At 36.5% G+C, this 16544-nt stretch overlaps 1 protein-coding gene across 6 annotated transcripts in view, besides 1 other annotated feature; it reads right to left on the bottom strand.

Moving 5' to 3' along the window:
- Positions 1-16544, bottom strand: part of SEC22A (SEC22 homolog A, vesicle trafficking protein) — a 72194-nt gene that overhangs the window by 38934 nt on the left and 16716 nt on the right. For all 6 annotated transcript variants that reach the window (XM_011512675.4, XM_011512676.4, NM_012430.5 and 3 more), the window contains 2 exons: positions 11481-11644; positions 9906-10100 (listed from right to left, as the gene is read on the bottom strand). In XM_011512675.4, coding sequence (XP_011510977.1) covers positions 9906-10100; positions 11481-11644 — 359 coding nt within the window. The remainder of the gene's footprint in view (positions 1-9905; positions 10101-11480; positions 11645-16544) is intronic.
- Positions 5844-6044: a silencer, noted in NCBI's record as "peak4799 fragment used in MPRA reporter construct". NCBI's record gives its function as "represses an SCP1 promoter by STARR-seq MPRAs in K562 erythroleukemia cells {active_cell/tissue: K562}" and the evidence as "EXISTENCE:reporter gene assay evidence [ECO:0000049][PMID:32103011]".

Here is a 16544-nt window from a genome sequence, read left to right as displayed (position 1 = left end):
TTTAATTTTGAATTGGGTGAGGTAGTACATGCCTGTAATCCAGACTACTCTAGAGCCTGAGGTGGGAGGATTGTTTGAGCCGACGAGTGCGAGACCAGCCTGGGCAACATTGTAAGAACTTGTCTCCAAAAAAGTTTTTAGCTTTGATGATGTCCACCTTATCTATTTTTTTTTTTTTTTTTGAGACAAGGTCTGGCTGTTGCCCAGGCTGGAGTGCAGTGGCACGATCTCAGCTCACTGTAACCTCCGCCTCCTAGGCTCAAGCCGTCCTCCCACCTCAGCCTCCCGAGTAGCTGGGACTACAGGCGTGCGCCACCACGCCTGGATAATTTTTGTATTTTTTGTAGAGATGAGGTTTCGCCATGTTGCCCAGGCTGGTCTCGAACTCATGGGACCAAGCGATCTGCCTGTCTTGGCCTCCCAAAGTGCTGGGATTACAGGCGTGAGCCACTGAGCCCAGCCTATTTTTTCTTTTTTCATTGTGATTTTGGTGTTAAGTCTTAAAAACCTAATATAAGATTATACAAAGATTTATATGTATGTTTTCTCCTAAAAGTTTTATAGTTTTGTTGTTAAGTTTTTGATACATTTTAATTAATTTATATATTTTTTTTGAGGTAGGGGTCCAACTTCATTCTTTTGCATGTGGTATCTAGTTGTCCTAGCACCATTTGTCAAAAAGACTATTCTTTCACCATTGTCTTGGCATCACTGTTGAAAATTAGTTAACCATAGTGAGTTTACTTCTGTACTCTCAATTCTACTCCATTGATCTATGTGTCTATCCTTAAACTAGAACCACACAGTCATGATAATTGTAGGTTGGTAATAAGTTTGGAAGTGTGAGTCCTCCAACTTTGTACTTTTCCAAGATTTTCCAAGATTATTTTGGCTATGCTCCATCCCTTGCATTTCCATATGAATTTTAGGATCACCTTGTCAATTTCTACAAAAAAAGCCGGGATTTTTATAAAGAATGTGCTGAATCTCTCTATTAATTTGGGAAGTACAACCATGTAAATAATACTGTCTTTCAATCCATGAACATGAGACTATTTGTCATTAATGTAGGTGTTGTTTCTTTCAATTATGTTTTAAAGTTTTCAGTATATAGGGTTTTCTTAATTTCATTTTCAGATTGTTCATTGTTAGTGTATAGAATACAATTGTTTTTTATATTAATCTTGTATCCTGCAACCTCACTGAACTCATTTATTAGTTCTCAAATAGTTTTTCAGTGGATTCCTTAGAATGTTCTATATAAAAGATTACGTCATATGTGAATGGTGTTATTTTATTTCTTCCTTTGCAATCTACATGCCTTTTTATTTATTGTCCTTGTCCAACGGCCTGCTGTGCCTTGAACTTCCAGTATAATGTTGACTAGAAGTAGTGTAAGCAGACATCTTTGTCTTGTCCCTGGATCTTAGGAAAAAGCATCCTGTCTTTCACCATTAGATATAATGTTAGTTGTGGGTTTTCCATAAGGGACTTTTATCAAGTTGAGGAACTTCCCTTCTATTCCTAGTTTGTTGAGTGTTTTTTTTTGTTTGTTTGTTTTTTTGCCATGAAAGGCTGTTGAATTTTGTCAAATGCTTTTTCTGCATGTATTGAGATAATCATGTGTTTTTCATTTCTTATTCTATCAATATATTACATTAATTGATTTTTGGATGTTAAAGCAACCTTGCACACCTGAGATAAATCCCACTTGGTCAGGATTTATGCAGGTCATGCATCCTTTAACAATGGGGATACATTCTGAACAATGTGTCATTAGGTGATATTGCTGTGCAAACGTCATAGAGTGTATTTACACAAACCTAGATAGTATACCCTAATACATACCTAGGCTATATGGTATAGCCTATTGCTCCTGGGTTACAAACCTGTGCAGCATGTTATCGTACTGGCTACTGTAGACTACTGTAACACAATAGTATTTGTGTATCTAAACATAGAAAAGGTGCAGTAAAAATATGCTATTATAATCTTTTGAAATCACCACCATATATTCAGTCTATCACTGACAAAATGTTGTTATGTAGCACATAACTGTAATTTTTTCTTTTAGAGACATGGTCTTGCTCTGTCACCCAGGCTGGAGTGCAGTGGTGTCATCATTACTCACTGCAGCCTCAAACTCCTGGGCTCAAATGATTCTCCCACCTCAGCCTCCTGAGTTGCCGGGACTACACATGCATACCATCACGCTAATTTTTAAAAATTTTTTGTAGAGATGGGGTCTGCCTATGTTGTCCAGGCTGGTCTCAAACTCCTGGGCACAAGTGATCCTCCTGCCTCAGTCTCCCAAAGTGCTGGGATTATAGGCATGAACCACAGCGCCTGGCCTAATTTTTTAAATACGTTGCTGGATTGGGTTTGCTTGTATTTTGCTGAGGACTTTTGTGTCCATATTCATAAGATATATTGGTCTGCATTTTACTTTCTTTGTGATGACTTTGCCTGGTTTTGGTATTAGTATGATACCGGCCTCACAGAATACGGAAGTATTTTTTGTAGAGACAGTGTTGCACTACATTGTCCAGGCTGGTCTTGAACTCCTGAGCTCAAGCCATCTACCTGCTTCGGCCTCCCAAAGTGGTGGGATTACAGGTGTGAGCCACAGCATCTGGCCCTTTACTGTTTTTTTGGAACTGTTTGTAAATAACTGGTTATTAACTCTTCATTAACTGTTTGGTAAAAATCACCAGTAAATGTATCTGGGCCTGGAGTTTTCTTTGTGGGTAGTTTTTATTACTAATTGAATCTTTTTGCTTTTACAGATCTATTCATATTATCTTCTTGCATCATTACCAGTAGTTGGTGTTTTTCTAGGAATTTATCCATTTCATCAAAGTTATTGAATTTAATGGGAGACAGTTGTTTATAGTATTCTTTATAATCCTTTTTATTTCTAGAAGGTCAGTAGAAATGCCATCCTTTTCATTTCTTTTTTCTTTTAGACAGAGCCTCGCTCTATCACCCAGGGTGGAGTGCAGTGGTGTGATCTCAGCTCACTGCAACCTCCACCTCCCACGTTTTAAGCAATTCTCGTCCTCAGCCTCCTGAGCAGCTCGGATTACAGGCACGTGCCACCATGCTCAGCTAATTTTTTGTATTTTTAGTAGAAATGGGGTTTTGCTATGTTGGCCAGGCTAGTCTTGAACTCCTGGCTTCAAGTGATGCATCCACCTCAGCCTTCCAAAGTGTTGGGGTTGCAGGCATGAGCCACCGTGCCTGGCCCCTTCATTTCTAATTTGAGTAATTATTTTCTGGGTCAATCTAGCTAAGGGTTTGTCAGTTTTTTCAAAGAACCAACTTTTGGTTTTGTTGATTTTTCTCTACTGTTTTCCTATCCTCTATTTCATTTGTTTCTGTTCTAATCGTTATTTCCTTCCTTCTGTTTGCTTTAGGTTTAATTTGCTTTTCTTTTTCCATTATCTTTAAGTGGAAAGTTGTCTTCAAATCTGGTTTTTGTTTTTTTAAACATAGGCATTTACAGCGATAAATTTTCCTCTAAATTTAGCTTTTGCTACTACATCCTGTAAGTTTTGGTATGCTGAATCTTCATTTTCATTCATCTCAAAGTACGCATTTCCCTTTTGATTTAGTCTCTGACCCATTCACTATTTAGGAATGTACTGTCTAACTTCCACATATTTGTGAGTTTCCCAAATTTCTTTCTGTTTTCACTTCTAATTTCATCTAATGTAGCTGGAGAACATACTTTGTACTATTTCTATCCTTTTAAATTTATGAAGGTTTTGTTTTTCTTTTTGTTTTGTTTAGCTTAGCATAAGGTCTATCCTGGAGAATAGTTCACATGCACTTGAGAAGAACATAAATTCTGTTGTTAAATGGAGTATCCTAATAGATGTCTGTTATGTCTCACTGGCATATGGTGGTGCAGGTGTTCAAGTCTTCTATTTTCTTATCTTCTGCCTAATTGTTCTATCCATGATTGAAAGTTGTGTATTTAAGTCTCCAACTACCATTGTTCAATTGTCTATTTCTGTATTCACTTCTGGCAGGTTTTACTTAATGTACTTTGGGGCTCTGTTGTTAAATGCATGTATGTTTATAGCTCTATCTTAATTGATTCACCCTTTTATCATTATAAAATGTCATGCTTTACCTCTCATACCAATGTTTGTCGTAAAGTCCATTTTGTCTGATATTAGTATTGGTACTCCAGCTCTCTTTTCCTCTTCATTTATCTTTTTTTATCCTTTGACTTTCAATCTATTTGTATATTTGAATCTAAGGTATGTCTCCTGAAGACAACATATAGTTGCATCTTGTGTTTTTATTTTTACTCCAATCTTACAATCTCCATCTTTTGACTGGATTATTTAATATATTAACACTTTTTAAATCCATTCATATATAACATTATTACTGATATAGATTTACATCTGCCATTTTTTCCCTTTTTTCTTATCCATCTCATGCCTTTTTTGGCTCTATCCCTCCTTCACTTTTTTTTTTTTTTTTTTTTTTGCATGAAGTGAATATTTGGTAGTACGGTATTTTACTTTAATAATTTTTCACTACTTTTTATTTGCTTTGTGGTTGCTCTAAGCTTACCATGTACATCTTAACTGCAAGAATTTATACTATATTCTAATGAGCCACAGAAACATTACTCCTATATAGCTCTATTCCCTTTATCTCCTTTTTGTGGTATTGCTGTTATACATATCAATAAACATCACAAACTCCATAATGCATTGTTATAAATTATGACCTTCTATAATTTTATGTCTTCCAAAAATGCTAAGAAAGGATAGTAATTATATGTTTATAGCTCTTGTTAATATTTATCTTATCTTTCTGGCTTCCTTCATTAGTTCCTGTTGATTTGAATTATCATCTGGAGTAATTTCCTTATCCCAGTACAACTTTAATACCACCCATGTCCTTTTTGCTGTATGCGAAAACATATTACATTTCTATATGTTATAGGCCCAAATGACATTATATATACACTGTTTTATATGATCACTTTTTAAATCAGTTAAGAGTAGAGAGTAGAAGAAAAATGCATTAATGTATTTTTACGAGTCAGAGTCTTGCTCTACTGCCCAGGCTGGAGGGCAGCCTACCTCACTGCAACCTCAAATTCCTGGGCTCATGGGATCCTCCCACTTTGGCCTCCCAAAGTATTAAGATTACAGGCATGAGCCACCACACCGGGCCTTTACTGTCTTTTTTAATTACTTAATTACATTTACCCTTGTTCTTTGCTTTTTTTCAAATGGATTCAAATTATTTTCTAGGGTCACTTGTTTTCATCCTAAAGAATTTCCATTATTATTATTATTTATTTTTTTTTTTTGAGATGAAGTCTTGCTCTGTTGCCCAGGCTGGAGCACAGTGGCGCGATCTCGGCTCACGGCAATCTCCGCCTCCCGGGTTCAAGCAATTCTCCTGCCTCAGCCTCCTGAGTAGCTGGGATTACAGGCGTGTGGCACCATGCTCAGCTAATTTTTGTATTTTAGGTAGAGACGGGGTTTCACCATGTTGGCCAGGCTGGTCTTGAACTCCTGACCTCGTGATCTGCCCGCCTCAGCCTCCCAAAGTGTTGGGATTACAGGCGTAAGCCACAACATGCAGCCAAGAATTTCCTTTATTATTTCTTATAAGGTGTTTCTGCTAGTAACGAATTCTCTTATCTTTCATTTATCTGTAAATATCTTTACTTTGCCTTCATTTTTTTAAAAGATAACTTTGCTAGATATAAGATTCTTGGTTACTGGTAGTTTTTATTTTCTTTCTTTCAGCAATTTGTATGTCATTCCATTGCCTACTAGTCTCTATTGGTTCTGCTAAGAAGTCAGCTGTTAATCTTATTGAGGTTCACTGTAAGTGATGAGTTTTGGTTTCCTTTTAACTTTTATTTTAGGTTCAGGGACAGGTTTGTTATACAGGTAAACTCATGTAAGTGACAAGTTCTTTTTCTCTTGCTGATTTCAAGACTTTCTCCTTGTCTTTAGTTTTCAGCATTTTACTATGATTCATCTATTTGTGGATCTCGTGTGTATCCCATTTGGAGTTCACTGAGCTTCCTGCAAGAGCAGACTAATGTTCTTCAGTAAATCTGGGAACTTTTCAGCCATTATTTCCTCAAATATTTTTTCTGCTTTTTCTCCCCCTTCTTCTTCGGTATCCTATCACACCTATGTTAGCATGCCCCATTTTTTTGAGGTTCCATTCATTTTTCTTCATTCTTTTTTCTGTTTTTCAGATTAGATAATCTCTATCAATCTATCTTCAAATTGCTAACTCTTCTGCCAGTTCAAATCTATTGTTACGCCCTTCTAGTGAATTTTTCATTTTAGTAATTTTACTTAATTCCAGAATTTCCACTGTGTTTTTTAAAAATAATTTCTCTTTATTGGTATTGTCTATTTGATGCAACATTATCATACCTCCCCCTTTACTCCTTTAATAGTTTCCTTTAGTCTTTGAACATGATTATAATGACTACTTTGAAGCCTCTGTCTGTTAAATCTGACAGCTGATTGCTCTCAGAGGCAGTTTCTGTTACCTACATTCTGTCCCCTCTACCCCATGCCCACAGTGTGTGGGTCATATTTTCTTTCTTTTTTTTTTTTTTTTTTGAGATGGAGTTTTCGCTCTCGTTGCCCAGGCTAGAGTGCAATGGTGCAATCTCAGCTCACTGCCACCTCCGCCTCCTGGGTTCAAGCAATTCCCCTGCCTCAGCCTCTCGTGTAGCTGGGATTACAGGCATGTGCCACCCTGCCCAACTAATTTTTTTTTTTTTTTTTTTTTTTAGTAGAGACGGGATTTCTCCATGTTGGTCAGGCTGGTCGTGAACTCCCAACCCCAGGAGATCCGCCCGCCTTGGCCTCCCAAATGCTGGGATTATAGGTGTGAGCCTCCACACCTGGCCATATTTTCCTGTTTCTTTGCATGTCTTATAATTTACTGGAAATTGGACATTTTAGATAACATATTGTAACAATGTGGGTACTAGCCCACTCTCCCCCTACCACCCCTGACCAACTGGGCTTGTTATTGTTATCTGCTTGTTTACTAACTGACTGGATTATTTTAATGAAATTTGTTACCCTCTTCTCCCACATTTGTATGTGAAGTGTTGTATTCAGTCCAAATTTAAAGAATATTAACAAACTAAAGCATGTCTAGAGGAAGCTTCTAGGATGGGGAGAACTTGAAATGCCATAAATGAAAAGGCTAAGTGAACTGGAGTTTTTTTTTTTTTTTTCTGATGGAGCTCGCTTTGTCACCCAGGCTGGAGTGCAGTGGTACGATCTCAGCTCATTGCAACCTCTGCCTCCTGGATTCAAGCAATTCTCTGCCTCAGTCTCCCGAGTAACTGGGATTACAGGTGCCTGCCACCACACTCAGCTAATTTTTGTATTTTTAGTAGAGACAGGGTTTCACCATCTTGGCCAGGCTGGTCTTGAACTCCTGACCTCGTGATTCAAAAAGGTGCATGTTTGTTGCAGTTTAATTGAAAATTTTGCCCTTTGTCAATATACAATGATAAATGTGTTTGCTTTGTATTCTATAGTTGATATTGTCTTACATTTTTATTTCTTTTTTTATTATACTTTAAGTTCTGAGATACATGTGCAAAACGTGCAGGTTTGTTACATAAGTATACATGTGCCATGGTGGTTTGCCACATCCATCAACCCATCATCTATATTAGGTATTTCTCCTAATGCTATCCCTCCCCTTGCCCCCAACCCCTTGACAGGCCCCCGTGTGTGATGTTCCCCTCCCTGTGTCCATGTGTTCTCATTGGTGAATTGGAGATATTTATATGAAGTAGACTAGTCTAAGAGGATGGAAAGGACACACAGTTGCTGACTTAACTGTTATTCTGGTTCTGCTGAAGGAAGGGAGGAACAGATCACAAAACAAACTAGTAGACATAGGGAAGCTGACTTTAGCTCAATTATATAAGGAAGTTTTTTTTTTTTCCTAAAGCCTTAGGTTGGAATAATTTTCTTAAACAAATAGTCTGACAATGGCATATGCTACCTTATAAAATAATGAGGTGTTCATTTTAAGCAAAAGTTTATATCATTTCACAACTGTTGACGATAGTATTCCTTCTTTGGGATGGGAGGTTTGAGCAGACGATCACTAAAGTATTTACACCTTCCGTGACAGTCAAGAACACTGGCCTTGAATGTAGCCATTTTAACAAAATGCAAAGCACTTTACATGCCTATAAATATGCAGTACAAAGAACCTATTTTTCATTTCTAGAAAAATGTTTACAAAGAAACCTTAAATGTTTTCCTAGCCATATACAAAGATCAAATCAAAATGGATTAGACTTAAATCTAAGACCTCAAACCATGAAGTTACTAAAAGATAACATTGGGGAAACTCTCCAGGACATTGGCCTGGGCAAAGATCTCTTGAGTAATACCCCACAAGTACAGGCAACCAATGCAAAAGTGGACAAATTGCATTATATTGAGTTTAAAAGCTTCTGCTCAGCAAAGGAAACAACAAAGTGAAGAGACAACCCACAGAATGATAGAAAATATTTGCAAACTGAGAAGGGAATGTGAATCCCTATATTCATCTGACAAGGGATTAATAACTAGAATACACAATGAGCTCAAACAACTCTATATGAAAAAATCTAACAAGCCAATTAAAAAATGGGCAAAAGATCTGAATAGACATTTCTCAAAAGAGACATACAAATGGTAAACAGGTATATGAAAAGGTGCTCAACATCACCGATCATCAGAGAAATGCAAAACAAAACTACAACGAGACATCATTTCACCTCAGTTAAACTGGGTTTTATCCAAAAGACAGGCAATAATGAATGCTGGTGATGACGTGGAAGAAAGGGAACACTGTTGGTGGGGATGTAAATTAGTACAACCACTATGGAGAACAGTAGTAGTTTTGAGGTTCCTCAAAAACTAAAAAGAGAACTATCATATAATCCAGCAACCCCACTGCTAGCTATATACCCAAAAGAAAGGAAATCAGCATATCGAAGAGACATCTGCATTCTCATGTTTACTGCAGTATATTCACAACAGGTAAGACCTGGAAGCAACCTAAGTGCCCATCATCAGACAAACGGATTAACAAAATGTGGCACACATACACAACAGAGTATTATTCAGCCATAAAAAAAGAATGAGATCCTATCATTTGCAACAGCACGGATGAACTGGAGGACATTTTATTAACTGAAATAAACTAGACACAGAAAAGAAAAGTTTACATATTCTCACTCATTTGTGGGAGCTAAAGTTTAAAACAACTGAACTCATGGAGATAAGAGAGTAGAATTTTGGTTACTGGAGGATGGGAAGGGTAGTGGGGGTGGGAGAAAGGGTGATGGTTAATGGGTACATAATATAGTTAGCTAAAATGAATAAGATTTAGTACTTGATACCACAATAGGGTGACTACAGTCAACAATAATTTATTGTACATTTAAAAATTAACAGAGCACAACTGACATGTTTATAACACAAAGAAATAATAAATGCTTGAGGTGATGAATACCCCATTTACCCTAATGTGATTATTACACATTGCATACCTGTATCAAAATATCTCATGTACCCCATAAATATATTACACACCGAATATGTACCCATGAAAATTAACTTTTTTTAATTTTAAATTTAAAAAAATGTTTTTCTAGCAAAGAGATCCTCTGAGGTTGCTATTTGAAAGTATTTTCCCGATTAGTCACACATCTGGTAGCTTACTTTATAAATCACTGAAAGGATTGCTTTGAACTTCTATATTCTCTCATGTACTTGATTTAAAATATTAGAATAAAGTAATTCATTTTCAAGAGTTTCTCAGTTTTTCCCAAGGATTTTTTTAAAATAAAATAACTGAGATCCAGAACTCACCAGAAGAAATCTTACCAGCACCTTTACAGTCAACAGAAAATGCTGATGTGACTCCATTGGCTGACCCCAGTTCGCACATGGAAATTTGATAAGGAGGCCTCAGCTTGATTTCCGTCTGCATGTCAGAAAGATTTATCTTTGTTGAAAGAGACCTGGGATTATTATATCGCTGCTTGGTCCTCTGAATGAAGTTATCTATGTAAAATAAAAAATAAATTTCCTTGCAGTCACTTGTCAATTAATCATTTCAGAATATGATGTTTATGGATAGTAAATATTACAGGTAGTTTATTATTCAAAATTGTTCAATTCGTCATGAAATAGTCCAATATTACTTGTGTTTAATGATTAATGTATCATGGAATCATCAGTTTTACCCTCTAGAAATCAGTAATTTTAAATAAACTAAGGATTTAACACTACCTAAGTGTATTACATCCACTTCAAGAAATTACAAAAACAAAAAACAGCTTTAACTTTAAACCAAAGTCTTGAATTTTTTTTTTTGAGACAGGGTCTTGCTCTGTCACCTAGACTGGGGTGCAGTGGTACAATCATAGCTCACTGTAACCTCAAACTCCTGTGCTCAAGTGATCCTTCTGCCTCAGTCTCCCAAGCAGCTGGGGCTACTGGTGTGAGCCACCATGCCCAGTTTATTTATTTATTTTTGTACAGACAGGGTCTATGTTGCCCAGGGTGGTCTCGAACTCCTGGCCTTAAGTGATCCTACTGCCTCGGCCTCCCAAAGTGCTGGGATAAAAGGCATGAGCCACACCACACCTGGCCCAAAGTCTTGATTTTTATAGAGATTCCTATCTCATGAAATATTAAATCTGTCAGATTTACCAGCTGCAATTACATAAGAACACACACTAGAAGTTGCATGTTTTTATAAATCTGTTTTTTATTGCTTACACCATTAGAATGTAGGTTTTAAAGAATAAATTGAATAAAACTAACATAAGACATTTCCTAAATATTTTCCAAGTGGAATTTTATTTTTACTATTTACAACATGGTGTTTTTTTTTTTTCTTCTACATCAGAAGTTGAGCAAACTACTGCCCACAGGCCAAATCTAGCCTGCTGACTATTCTGTAAAGTTTTATTAGAATATAACTGCACTCATTTACGTACTGCCTATGGCTGCTTTCGAGCTACAACGGCAGGGCTGAATAGTTGTGACAGGGACTATATGATCCTTAAAGTCTAAAATATGTACTATCTGGTCCTTTCCAGCAAATGTTTGCCATCCCCTATTCTACATGAAGCAGACTATAAAAGATTATTACAGAAACGCAAAAGTCTGAATCTCTGGCTTATAAATTTCTCATTGAGAAGTTATCCTCTGGCATTAATTCTTCGGACCAATACTCACAATCCCCTTCACAGCTCAAACACAATTTTTTTCTAATAAGCATCTAAGTAAAAAGTTACCATAATTTATAGATCATTTACCAAATTATTATATCAAAAGCAAGATAGCAGAAGTCCCCCCTCCACCCAATATTAGATTTAAAATTGCTTATGATTGGATGCAGACAGAATAAAAAGGAAAAAAAAATCAGGCCCTTACCAAATTCAATGAAACAGTATGGTCTGACAGCAGTATTTGTCTTCATCATGTTATAAGTAGTAATGAACTCCTTCTGAAGCTCATCCAGGAAAGAGAAGGCGAGAACATTTGGGTAATTTTCAGTGCACAACATCATGTAGCTCACTCCCAGAGAGCTAATAAAACTACAGTGTAAAAAACATTGGTTTTAAAATTTCAAATTAAATCAAGGTAATTCACTGCTTCACAAGACTGGTTCTATACACCATAAACTGCTACTACGGTGGCAATGAAGATCTTAACATTTATTATATATTCTAGGAAAAAATTTAAAGGAACCAAAATACAGCACTATTTTAAGTTGTGGTTTAAAAACAGAAGACAAAAAATAGAATGTACTACAGAGGGACACACAATACGGTTCTAACATTTCAGTTATCACTTGGGGTAAAAAGCAGGGGAATGGATATACAAATGTATTGTAAGTATTACAGATAGCTTAAAGTCTAACCCTTCAATATGTTTTCCACTTTTGAGTCCAGAACCCTTTCAAGATTCTGATGACAGGAACACTCTCCCTAGAAAGATGCCAGAACACAGAAGATTGCACACAATTTCAAGGTGATCACTGACCTCTTGAAGTTATCATTGACACACCCCAGAATCAAATCCTCTACTTTACACAGTAATTAATTATGAACCATGGGAGGGGGGAATTTATGAGTTTATATAAAAAACAAAAGGAGAAATGAGGGCTATGGCTTAAAGCAGAATGCTGAGTGTTGACTGGTAAACGTAGAGGAAGTGCTAGCAATGGAAAAATCAGCATTTTGCAACCAACATAGTAAAGATTGGATCAGGCAAGGACAATCATGGATGTTAAATCTAGGGGGAAATTTTTACGGGTTAGTATATTTGCATGGTTTTAAAATGTCTTTCCATGGATTGTTTCTTAGTTGCAAGGGGAAAATATTATACAGTAGAAACTAGGTAACTCCTTCACCAAGTACTCTCTAACATCATTCATGTTAGATGGACATTGTGTGTCTCCAGATGTTATATCCTGAGAAAGACACATCAGCTATATAATATTCTGAGAATGCATAATTTGAATTTAATCATTAAGAAAACACCAAAATGATCAACATTCTATTTTTGAAAAGGAAAAAGTGTATTCTTTAAAAGTGCCAGGGTTGTAAAAAAGAAATAAAGGATGTGGAAATGTTGCCAATCAAAAGAAGCTAAAGAGGCCGGGCATGGTGGGGGCCTGTAATCCCAGCACTTTGGGAGGCCGAGGTGGGCGGATCATCTGAGGTCAGGAACTTGAGACCAGCCTGGCCAACATGGTGAAACCCCGTCTCTACTAAAAATACAAAAATTAACTGGGCATGGTGGTGCATGCCTGTAATCCCAGCTATTCAGGAGGCTGAGGCAGGAGAATCGTTTGAACCCAGGAGGTGGAGGTTGCAAAGAGCCGAGATTGCGCCATTGCACTCCAGCCTGGGTGACAAGAGAGAGACTCTGTCTAAAAAAAAAGAAGCTAAAGAGATATGACGACTAAATACAATACCTAACACTAGTCCAAATCCTGTGCCAAAAAGCAATAAAAAAAAAAAAATGCTATAAAGCATATTCCTGGGTCAACCGACAAAAAAAGGAAAGTTGGCAGTAGAGTAGATAAAGTATGGTAGGAACATTAAATTTACTGAGGCTGATATGTGTACTGTGGTTAAGTAAGAGAATATCCCTAATTTTAGAAAATATACTCTGAAGTAGTTATGAAGAAAGGGGCATGGTATTTATAAGTTTCTCTCAAATGGTTCAGGAAAAAAAAAATAAATCAGATAGTTAAGTAGGTAGGTAGATAAAATGAGAAAACAAATGTGGTAAAATGTTGACCAAAGGTGACTATGGGAACAGGTGTTATTTGAACTTTTCTTATTCATACAACTTTTCTGTAAGTTTGAAATTACTTCTAAATAAATTCAGAAATTAAAAATGAAAAAATAAGCACTGAAACATGAAAATTAACCATATTCTATTGGAAAAAAAGCTTTCTAGAATCTAGTATATACCCCACTATAATAAATAAGCAGAGCACAAAACACAAAGTAACCCTTTTTAATGAGTCACCTAAACATCATTGCATAGCACTGTCAATATAGCTGGTCTAGATCAGGGGCAGTAAACAGCATGCAGGATGTAATTCACCACTCCTATGCTGGACTCTGCTAAACTACACAGTAATCTTTTTTTTTTTTTTTTTTTTTTTTGAGATGGACTCTTGCTCTGTCACCCAGGCTGGAGTGCAGTGGCACAATCTCGGCTCACTGCAACCTCCGCCTCCCGGGTTCAAGCGATTCTCCTGTCTCAGCCTCCTGAGTAGCTGGGATTACAGGCACACACCACCACACCTGGCTAATTTTTATATTTTTAGTAGAGATGGGGTTTTACCATGTTGACCAGGGTGGTCTCAAATTCCTGACCTCAAGTGATCTGCCCACCTTGGCCTCCCAAAGTGGTGGGATTACAGGTCTAAGTCACCACGCCCGGCCTACACAGTAATTTTTACTGTAAAATTCTGATCCATACTGGTCACCTTACTATTTTCTTTCTCGAATAACATAGAAGCAGAATTTATTAATGTTTAGAATAAATATGTTCACAGGATTCAAATTTAACAAGAATGAAAAATAAAAGGGTATACTGCACTTAAAGTGTCTTATCACTCTTGCCCAGATACCCAGTTCTCCTTCCCTTGGGCAATTCAGGTTAGTAATAATTTCTTATGTATCCTTCCTGTGAGAGCTTGTAAGTAAATATGTGTGTGAATATATACATGTGACATATATATATATATATGTATATATATATATGAGACCTTTTTTAAAGACCATCCTAGGCAGCCAAATGGGCTTGCCACCTACTAGTCGTCTATTACTAGTGGTATGGGATATACTAGTGGTGAAATAGTGCTGATCTTATGGTTCTAGAGTAACCTGGTTGTTCCTTTCTGAAGCATCACTTAATACACAGTCATTTAGTGCAATGTTTTTCAAAGTGCAAGTTGTAAACCACTATGTCATAAAACTAGTTTAGTGAACTACAGCATTTTCCAGAAATTGAAATAAAATATAACAGAAAATATTGGAATATTGTTTCATAAAACTTTTTAGTTTCCTATATGTGTATATACAGCATTCACAAAGTAAAATGTATCTCTTAAGGATCATAATCAAATTAATTTAGCCATAGCATATTGCCTTTTTCTACAAATTAATATCTAAATCAAAGGTCAAAATATGCTTTGTCAAATGATTTTCTTTCCAAAAAAAATCTTCACTGTCATTATCAAAGTTCTTTGACATGTCATTAGCATTCAAATATACCCCATAATAACCTCAATAACCTGAAGACAATTGGTAATTGGCTTCCACATCCTAGGAACTCCCAATTGGCTAGCTAGGAGTTATTTGATTATCCTCCATTAATATGACTGAAGTTTTTGGAACCCATTTTTTGTATTATGTCAGAGTCTTACTGTATTTCCATATTAATAACAGAGTCAGCCACAGACACCTACATGACAGTTTATCCCAAATGGTCTATCTTACTTGTGCTAAATGTAACTAGACAATTGTATGTGAAATAAAGGAAACCCTATGTCTTTAACATGGCATGTGAGCATTTTCAGGGAGTCTTTATTTTACTACAGTTGCAAGATTCTCTCTGAAAAGGCTATAGTGTGTTCTATAACATTATGGCTTTTCATAGTAAATTTAGTTTTATAATGCTTTATTTGAAATGCAAAGCTAGTTTTCCCAAAGTATATACAGTTCCATTTATGTTTGTGATGAAAAAAATTCTGCTTTTTCAACAATCATGGGACAGATTGAAATACTCCCACCACTTCACTGAGGACTACTCATAAAATAGTCTAAAGTCATTACAGGCATGCCAGTTTGTGCATGCTTTTGCTGTGTTCATCAGGTTCACCTAGCTAATATTTTATAGACAATCTGGCGGATGTCTATCTGCCTTGAGGAGAAAGAAGAGAAATAGTAGTAAGAGTAATAGCACCACGTAGTTTACTGACCGCTTAGTATGAGCTAGGCCCTTTGCTAAGTATTTTACATATTTAGTTTCATTCTCTCAATAAAGGGGCACTATTATCTCCATTTTACAAATGAAAGAAAAGAAACTCAGAGAGGCTTAGTAACTTATCCAAGGTCACACACCATTAAGAAGCAAAGATAGGATGAAGTTAGTTGATTCCAAGGCCCACATTCTTTCCACAATACAATACCAACTTCCATGTAGTATAGATTAACCAATTATCCCTAATTCACCAATGTTTTTTCACTTTTTCCAAGCCACAAATCAATCTCTATTTTATTCCCGAAATTAAGAGTAATGAAACTTCTGAGTTTTGGAACCTGTATTACAGTTATCTTCTGGAAGCCCTCCCAAACACTCCACTTCATTTTGTACATCTTTACTCCTCCCTCTCTACATTCCAGCCACCCACTGGCCTTATTTCAGATCCCCAAGGATGCCAACCCACTTCCAGCCCTCCCACTTCCAAACTGAGAAACTTCATGATTTTGTCTTCCCCACTTGCAATGCTCCAATTCTGAACTGGCTAATTCCTACATATCCTTCAGTTCTTAGACTGAAAGTCCTTCCCAGAACACACAATCTAAACTGATCCCACTCCTACAGTATATCATAGCAGCTGTTAGTTTTCTTCACAAACTAACCCAATTTGTAATTGTATATTAATATATTTTTGTTGCAATGTCTCTCTCACTAATATACACACTCCATGAGAGCAGGGATGATTTCTGTATTGCTCACCATTATATTCTTAGCACTTAGAATATTTTGTGTCTAGTATACCATAAGTGCTCAGTAAATAAATGAGTGCAAAGGTGGCATCATTCCTTTACTCATTTATACACTAATTTGTTGAGTATATCATGCACCAGTAATTGTACAGCTTAGTAGTATCTACACAAAGCAGCAGCTCAATAAATACTTGACTAAATGACAGAAGAGAGTAGAACTTCACTTGTCTTCTAGTTA

Source organism: Homo sapiens, chromosome 3 (assembly GCF_000001405.40).
Source record: "Homo sapiens chromosome 3, GRCh38.p14 Primary Assembly".
NCBI lineage: Eukaryota > Metazoa > Chordata > Mammalia > Primates > Hominidae > Homo > Homo sapiens.
Note: the sequence above shows the minus strand (reverse complement) of the source record. Positions and strands in the feature narration are given on the sequence as shown.